The sequence below is a fragment of the Homo sapiens genome, chromosome 4 (assembly GCF_000001405.40).
Source record: "Homo sapiens chromosome 4, GRCh38.p14 Primary Assembly".
Taxonomy (NCBI): Eukaryota; Metazoa; Chordata; class Mammalia; order Primates; family Hominidae; genus Homo; species Homo sapiens.
Genome location: NC_000004.12, coordinates 175,190,406 through 175,199,522, shown reverse-complemented (window position 1 = coordinate 175,199,522; position 9,117 = coordinate 175,190,406). Strand labels below are relative to the sequence as shown.

Below are 9,117 nucleotides of genomic sequence, written 5' to 3'. Positions count from 1 at the left end.
TCATGTGAGAAGGACAAAATCGAAAAACTAAACAAAAAATGTGAAGAAATCCAAAGACCAAATAGTCCTTTCAACAAATGAGAAATATATTTTGAAAAAACACAAGAATAAAAATAATCACACAGTGTTCATAGTAGGGTCGTGATTCATCACGAATGTCACAAAATAGATTTTATGGAGGTAGCTATATCTCATAGATGTGATGGAATCCCTGCAGTCAACACTAATAGCTATGGCCTCCCAAAGTTCCACCTGCCTGATAATGTCACCTAGTAACTAAATTTTCTGTTGATTATTCTGGGTTAACCCTGGAGCCTCAGTCTGAAGCTTGTACATCTAGCCCTTCCAAATATTTTGTAAGCGGCAGAGTTTTAAAGTGGATTGTTTGAAAATAAAAATTACTATTTACAATACAAAAACGTGACAAGGCAAATCAATTGGGAAAGGATAGATTTTTAAACAAATGGTGCTGGGACAAATATCCATACAGAACAAAATGAATTTGCATCCTTACCTCATACCATTAAAAAAAAAAAAAAAAAAAAAACTAAAAGTGGCTTTTAGGCCAAAACGTAAGAACTAAAGCTATAAAATTTCTAGAGGAAACCTAGAAAAGAACAACTTTGTAACCCTGAATTAGACATGAATTATAAACAAGTAGGCTTTGATACTTTTGACTTTATGGAAAAACTTTTGCCTTTCAAAATCCACAGTGGGTAAAATATTTGAGATGTTTAAAATATATATAATATCTATCTATCATCTGTCTATTTGATTGAGGAGCTGTATCTAGAACATACAAAGAACATTTTCAACCTATTAATAAAAAGACAATCTCAAAAAGAAACGAAAATTTGAGAAGACACTTCACAAAATACTATAGTCATATCCCTCAGTATCTGTGGGGTATTAGTTCTAGGATCTGCCATGGATACCAAAATCTGGGATGTTCAAGTCACTTATATAAAATAATGTCATATTTGTGTATACCATACTGTCAATCTAAATTATTAGAAACGATTAGAGCAATAAATTCTAATACAGTGATTTTATTTGGGAGCAAGCAGAAACAATTATAATCTAGGATGTACAACATTAGCAAGCCACGTATGCATCCAAAGAGGCAAGGATAAAGAGAATCTTTTTTTGGAAAAAGGAGAGGTCCATGTAAGCTGCTTGGAAACAGAGTTCATTGGTTCTGGAGGCTCAAAGCCAGAGTTGGCATCATTTCATTGGTGAAGATATCATCACTGAGTAAGTGTTCTTTTGAAAGTGTCTTATTTGAATTGCTGCAGTCCTAAAGAATGTCTAGTAATGAACCTTGTCATAGAAATATGTGCATGCATGTAAAATGCATAAGCCATGGAAAAAATATTTATGCATGAAGGATGTGAGATTATTTCTTGTGGGGTTATTTTTAAATGTTCTTGAAACAGTTTTTATCTTCAGACTTGCAAGCATGAGCTCCTCTCCTTCATGCTCTCCCATCCCCACTTTGCCTGGGTCTGACTAGTGTGACTTATCCTAATAGCTGCAACTTTCACACTGTTAACATCTCCAGTATACTATAAATGATCTCTAGATTACTTATAATATCTAGTGCAATATAAATGCTATGTAAATAGTTATTATACCGTATTGTTTAGGGAATAATGGCAAGGAAAAAAGTGTGTACATGTTCGGTATAGATGCAATATTTTTTTCCCAGAGTATTTTCTTTTCTTCTTCTTTTTTTTTTTTTTTTTTTTTTTTTTGAGACGGAATCTCGCTCTGTCCCCAAGGCTGGAGTGCAGTGGCGCGATCTCGGCTCACTGCAAGCTTCACCTCCTGGGTTTCACGCCATTCTCCTGCCTCAGCCTCCTGAGCAGCTGAGACTACAGGCACCCGCCACCACGCCCGGCTAATTTTTTTGTATTTTTAGTAGAGACGGGGTTTCACGGTGTTAGCCAGGATGGTCTCGTTCTCCTGACCTCGTGATCCACTCGCCTCGGCCTCCCAAAGTGCTGGGAATTCAGGGGTGAGGCACCGCGCCCGGCCCCCAGAGTATTTTCTATCCATGGCTGGTTGAATTCAGGAATGTGAAACCCATGCATAGGGAGGCCCGACTGCATATTTGTTGACTTACCTAGTATTTGCAGTTGTCAATTAGGATAACAAGGCAAACTGAAAGTAATAATGAAGTCTGTATTTACTGTGACTGTGAATACTAGAAGTAAAGAAAAAGTTCCAGGTCTGCATGTTCTATTTTTTCCCACAGAGTGGTATCAGGCAAGGGTCAAAGGACACACAGCACAGATGGGAGAGAAACATCCCTTTGCCAAGGAAGTCCTAACAAAAGTGTCCTGCTTTTTTTTTTTTTTTTTTTTTTGAGATGGAGTCTCGCTTTGTCGCCAGGCTGGAGTGCAGTGGCACGATCACGGCTCACGACAATCTCCGCCTCCCAAGTTCAAGCGATTCTCCTGCCTCAGCCTCCCGAGTAGCTGGGATTACAGATATGCACCACCATGCCCAGCTAATTGCTGTATTTTCAGTCAAGACGGGGTTTCACCAAGTTGGCCAGGCTGTTCTCGAACTCCTGACCTCCGATGATCCACCCACATTGGTCTCCCAAAGTACTGGGATTACAGGCGTGAGCCACCCCACCTAGCCAGTGTCCTGCCTTTTTATGGACCTGAGGGGGCTAGGAAGAAGGAAACTGGAAGGGTGTGGAGTGGAAAACTGCGAGTCAGAGTGGCAAAAAGTGCCCTAGCCAACCTAATTAGGAGGTCTCATGTAGGCAAAAGGAGGCATCTGAGCTAGAGATGTAGATATGCATATAATGCAAGGCCAGCTAGAGTGGCCCGAGTTCTTCACTGCAGCTTTTTCTAGAAAACTACAATATACTGACTGTGCACCAGCACCAAGTCTGATTTGGGAGGGCAGCTTTCTCCCCATAAGGCTTGATAGGCAAAGCTTTGCAATTACCTATGGTTGAGCTTATAAAATTGTGTATAGTATTTTAACCTGGAGCCAGGATACTAATACAAATAACAAATATGCACAGAAAAACAGTGCTCGATTCTAATACTCCTTCATAAGTGCAATTTAAAATGAAATTATTCTATTGATATTGCCTCATTAAAATGGAAATGTTAAGTGTGGCAGTACTAGGTGCATTGTAATGTAAGGATGTGGAGCAACTAAAACTCACAAGTTGCTTGATGGGAATTCAAAATGCTATGGTTTCTATGAAAGACAGTGGCAATTTCTTATCATGTTAATAGTTTACTCAATGTATGACTCATTAATGAAACTTCTATGTATTTAACTAAGATAAAGAAAATTTAAATCTACAGAAATATTTGTACGTGAATGTTCACAGCAGTTGTAAACATAATAGACTGAAATTTAAAACAATGCAAATATTAATTTAATTTCTTTATCTTGGGAAATAAGCATATCATAAGTCATGCTTCCACAAATAACTTAAGAGTCTCTCTTGACACTAATATGCAGGTGAGTGATTTAGGATGTATTAGAGCTTTAGAAATAGAAGAATTTGATCCAGAAAAAAAAACTGACATGTAATCTGTTTTTTCAGGCATAAGTGGTAGGAATGTCATTTGGTTTTAGGGAGTCAGTGGTGGTTGGGAAGACCACTAAAGCATTTTTGGTGAACCATCATTATCATTAGTACCATCGCAGCTAAGTTAGGTTCTGACACTTAATATTTGGTAATTCTAAGAGCAACCCTTTCTTCATAAGGTCAGTTCTATTCCATTTGTTTAGGACAACATCATGGGAATTAGACATGCGCAGTCCCACAAGACACTGTGCTTAGAAGGACCCCACTCCTGGTTTAACGTCCTGCTCTTACCATTTTGAATTCTTAATGATTTTTATCTTTGAACCTGTATTTCATAACTGAAGTATAATGAGATAATGGAACATGCATGCGAGCAGAGTAGATATGTGCAATATTCACTTCTACCACTGTTTCTTGTTTCCCCATTCACGTAGAGTGTTTGCAATGCCCCTATTAGCACAGAACCCTAATAGAACACAGATGATTTGGTGTTCAGAGAGACTCAAAGGGAGTACAAGGTAAGCGTGTTTAGCTTCACAACTGAATACGCGTTGTTGGTAACAGTCCCAAGAGGCCGCACTTCCCATTTGAACCAGAACTTACTTCAAACATTAAAAGATGAAAATGGGATTTTAAGAAACAAGAGCAACCAGGGAACATCACCTTAACTTGTTTTACTCCCCTGCACCCATCAACTATTTACACCTAAAATAATGACGTAAAAGGAAAGGGAAAGATAGTGAAACCTGTCGTTCCTTATCCTTAAGTCCTTCCCTCACTCAGCAATAAATCAAAAGTAGAGAGTATTGGAAGAATGTGTGTCAACCAAAAATTTTACTAAAAAGCCAACAGTTTGCTCTAGGTCCTGCTGCCTGCTGCACAGAAAGCCAGTCAGTGAGACAGCAAGTATTGCCAGGAAAGAAGTGTGACAGCCAAGGAGAACAGGAAATCAGTTTCAAATCCATTTATCTGACCAACTAAAATGACAGGTTTATATAGCAGGAAAGACATATAACTACATATGGGAAAACCAGAATTAGGGAGGGGTAAGGAAGGGGAATTAGTCAATACAAAACAAGGGGTCAGTCAGGCAATCATGATGGGTAAGGGATCTGGTGTCTCATTATCCATATGTGATAATCTGGTGAGTTTCACTTCTTGATACTACCTGGGAGGCCTGATGGTTGGTTTCCTGAGAAAGAAACTCATATAAGACAAATGTAACAAGATCAAGTTTTAAGACTGGAGGGTCAAGTTCTATGTTTACTCAAAAGAAACTGTAAAGATCAGTTCTATGAGACAAAATTGGGCTGATTTCAAAAACAGTTGAGTAAGTGTTGTGCAGTATTTCCATTTCTCTGCTAAGAACAAAATACACATGTAGAAGCTATAAAATAGAGATTGTGTAACTTTAATGCCTCTGCCTACTAATGAAATATTCTTACATTTGCACCTAAAATTGCTATTGGATGTTATAAAGATAAATGTTAAAATGTATGTTCATGTATTCCATTTTAATTTTTATTTATTCAGAGTGACACGAAGTAACAAGTAAAGAACAATATGAGAAGAGAGACCACTGAAGAATGAAAAAACTTTGTATTTTATCTTTTTAACAGCACATTTTTTTCATGCTATTTGAACAAGGGGCTGCACATGATAATTTTGCCCTGGGCCCTGCAATTTGGACTACTAGCCCTGATTTGGGGGGACATTTTTGTAAACTTAACAGTCTATTTCCATAGGCCTTATAAATTCTGTGAAGTACCTAAAATTCCTTTATTAATCCCTTTCATTTAAAAATAAATAGAGTGACATCACTTGTTTTGGCAGCTAAGAACTCTCATTGCATATATAAAGTAAAATACAAATCTGGTATATAAATATCTATTTTAAACTGTATGAGTATGAGAGAATTTTGGAAAAAATGATATAAAATGTTCAGTGTTGGTGTTATATAAAATGAAAGGATCATATTTTAGTTACTAATTAAATTGGTTTTTATTTTTTCACCCCTCATTATAGCACTTTAACATCAATATAACTTCAGCTAAACATTCAAAAGATCCACAATTATAATTTTAACAACATATAAGTACATTGCAAATATAAATTTCTCTTACTGAAGGCTTCTATAAAAGTGCTAATTTCTAAATCAATTATGTCATCTTTCTCTCTTTTAAACTTCCCACTATGGAATGCAAATATTGAATAATGTTCTATTATTAAAAATGTTAGCACAATAGGTTCATGATGCTTTATCATTTGTTGCTTTTAATAATATGATGGCATTATCTTTATGTATAAAAATTAAAAGGGAAATTCTAAGAAAATAATTAACATTTCAACTTTGACAAAACTATGCATTATATTTATCTCATTTTTCTGCAAATCTTTAAAAGGCACTATTCTCTGATAACATTTCTCCAGCGATACCTATAGATTTGAGAGAAAAAAACTCACACAAATTCTTTTTACAAAGCTATTCTCAGATAATTAATTATATTATCTGGTACTAATTGGTAGAGATTGAAAGTATTTAATAGCAGAATCTAACAAATGACCAAAACGCAGACAATTTGACTGGTCTCATATCTATATCTTGCCGTTATAGTTACTTTAAAAATGTATTTTCTTGCTTTGTTCATGATTTCAAAATCAGTTTTATGACAAAGTGGTCTCTTTTAAAGTCAGTTTGCTATGAGCAGCATTCACATAAATTATGTGTTTGATTTGACAATATTATTGAGGCTCTTGTATTTTGAAAGTCTTTTGAGACTATATTGATTTGAAATACGTTCTCAAGAATAGACAGTAAAGGTAATAAACAATTACATACCTAAGTGAAAAACAAGGTAGAAACTTATAAATATCATGAAAGGAAATTATTTACCTCTCGGGACTTTTTTGCTTTAAATACCAATTTATATAAAAATTTCATAAATTACACTTTTTTGCGTAAGTTGATTAAAAAGCTTCTACTTAAATTTTTGTCTTTTTAAGTTGATTTGTAATACTCTAAAATTTGATTTAATGAACCATTGGGTCTATGCATAGAAAGTTTTTAACTATATAGTTCATAATAATTACAGTTTCCAACTTACGATTCAATTTATAATTTTTCAACTTTATGATGTTGCAAAAGTTATACGCATTCAGTAGAAACCAAACTTTGAGTACCCATAAAACCATTCTGTTTTTTACTTTCAATATAGTATTCAATAAGTTGCCTGAGCTATTCAACACTTTATTATAAAATAGGATTTTTGTTCATGATTTGGCCCATGTAAGTGTTCTGAGCGTGTTTAAGTTAGGCTAGGCTAAGCTATTATGTTCTGTAGGTTAAGTGTATTAAATGCATTTTCAACTTACAATATTTTCAATTGGTGATGTTTATTAGAATGTAACCCTATTACAAGTCAAGGAGCATCTGTATATGTAGAAAATTCTCTCTCAATGTCTTTAAAATATATCTGTAACAAAATTCTTTTAAAATCATATGTTAAACCATTTATATTGATATTTCTTTTAATATCATTTATAATTTGGAGTTTTTATATGCTGTAGCAAATAATTTGAATATAAAAGATGATCTAAGCTAAAAAATACATACTATATATTTCTATATTTTCCTAGAAACATTTCAATACCTTAAACAGAAACAAGTATAAATTGAAACCACACAATTATATAACATTTAAGTGAAAAATACAATGTTCACCTTGGAAAATAACAATGGAGATGTTTTTCAATCCATTTAAAATTCGTAAAATATTTCCTGAAACACCTGAAAAGCTAATCCAAGTGGACAATGACCTCAGGTCTTTCTTTTCAACTAGTAGGAAGGTCATTCATGTGTAGTTCTTGTGTTCTCTTTTTTGTTGAATTGCATAAGTTCAAGGGAGGCAAACAATTTGATTTAGTCTTTCCTATTTTTAGAATTAACATTATTTCCCAGTTTGGAAATTTCACTTTGCTGCTGGAAATAAAAAGAAGAAGAGTTTTCAGCAACCTGTTTTCATGGTTATCCAACTCTTCAATTTACTCCCTTCATGCAGCCTTATGTAACTGCCATTTTCTTCCTCAAAAGTCAGACTTTCACTCACATTTGATTGCATAGTTACCAATTTAATAGGTACTAATTGAACATTTACTTGGAGGAATTTTAAAACAATGTAAAAGAGTATTTCTATCCTTAGTAATCTTGTACCATGACTGAAAACAAAAAGAGTAGACTAACATTTTACCTAGCATGGTTCTAATATTTAGGAACATAACTGTCTCTACAAATTATGTTAGGTTTTAAAAGAAAGGGTAGATAACAAAGTTACATAGTTATTAAAGATACTACAATTAGATCATTTTATTGTCTTAGATCTACACTCAATAGATTTTGAAGTGTACAATAAAAAATTGTTTTCTACAGGCACAATGTTTGTACAGCAGATATCTAAAATTTATGCATCTTGCATAATGTAAATTTTATATAAATTAATTGGCAAGTCCCCATTTTCTTCTCCACTGTCCCCTACAATCACCATTCTACTCCTTGCTTCTATGAGTTTGACTATTTTAGATAGGTCACATAACTGGAATCTTTCAGTATTTGTCCTTTTGTGACTGACATTTCACTTAGCATAAAGTCCTAATTTTTATCCATGTTGTTGCATATTGTAGGATTTTATTCTTCTTTAAGGCTAAATAATATTCCATTTTATATATTTACCATACCTTTATCAATTTATCTGTCAATGAACATTTAGATTGTTTCTACATCTTAGCTGTTGTGAATAGCACCACAATGAACATGGGATTGTTTCTACATCTTAGCTGTTGTGAATAGCACCACAATGAACATGGGAGTGTTAATATTTATTTGAGATACATATTTCAATTACTTTGAATCAACACCCAGAAGTGAAATTGCTAGGCCATTTGGTAGTTCCATTTTTAAATTATTTTTAGGAACCTCCATACCATTTTCCATAGCAGGTGCACCATTTTGCATTCCCACCAACAGTGTACAAGAGTTCCCTTTTCTCCATATAATCGCTAGCATTTGTTTTTTCACTCTAATATCCATTCTAATAGGTGTGACATGATGTCTCATTGTGGTTTTCAGTTTCATTTCTCTGTTGGTTAAAACACCTAAATATATAAAACAAACAAAGACAGAACTGAAGGGAAAAATAATAATATAATGCCAGGGGCTTCAATAAGCTACTATTAATAATAGATAGATTCACCCGACAAATAATCAATAAAGAAACACTGGACTTGAAAATACTATAGACCGAATGGGCATGACAGACAGACAAAACTTTTAACCCAACAACCACAGAATACACATTCTTCTCAAGGGTGCATGAAACATTCTCCAGGATAGATAGCATGTTATATCACAAAGCAAGTCTTACCAAATTGAAATCATACCAGGTATCTTTTCTAGCCACAATGGAATGAAATTAGAAATCAATTGCAGAAGGAAAACTAGAGAATTCACAAATGGGTTAAAGTTAAACAACATATTTTTGAACAACCATTGAGTCAAA

At 34.2% G+C, this 9,117-nt stretch overlaps 1 long non-coding RNA gene across 1 annotated transcript; it reads left to right on the top strand.

The window, feature by feature from the left end:
* The first annotated feature begins 540 nt into the window (after window positions 1-540).
* On the top strand, window positions 541-5,385 carry LOC124900872 (uncharacterized). Its single transcript, XR_007058496.1, has 2 exons — window positions 541-1,254; window positions 5,099-5,385. It is a non-coding gene; the product is annotated as an uncharacterized LOC124900872 (long non-coding RNA).
* The last annotated feature ends 3,732 nt before the right edge of the window (window positions 5,386-9,117 follow it).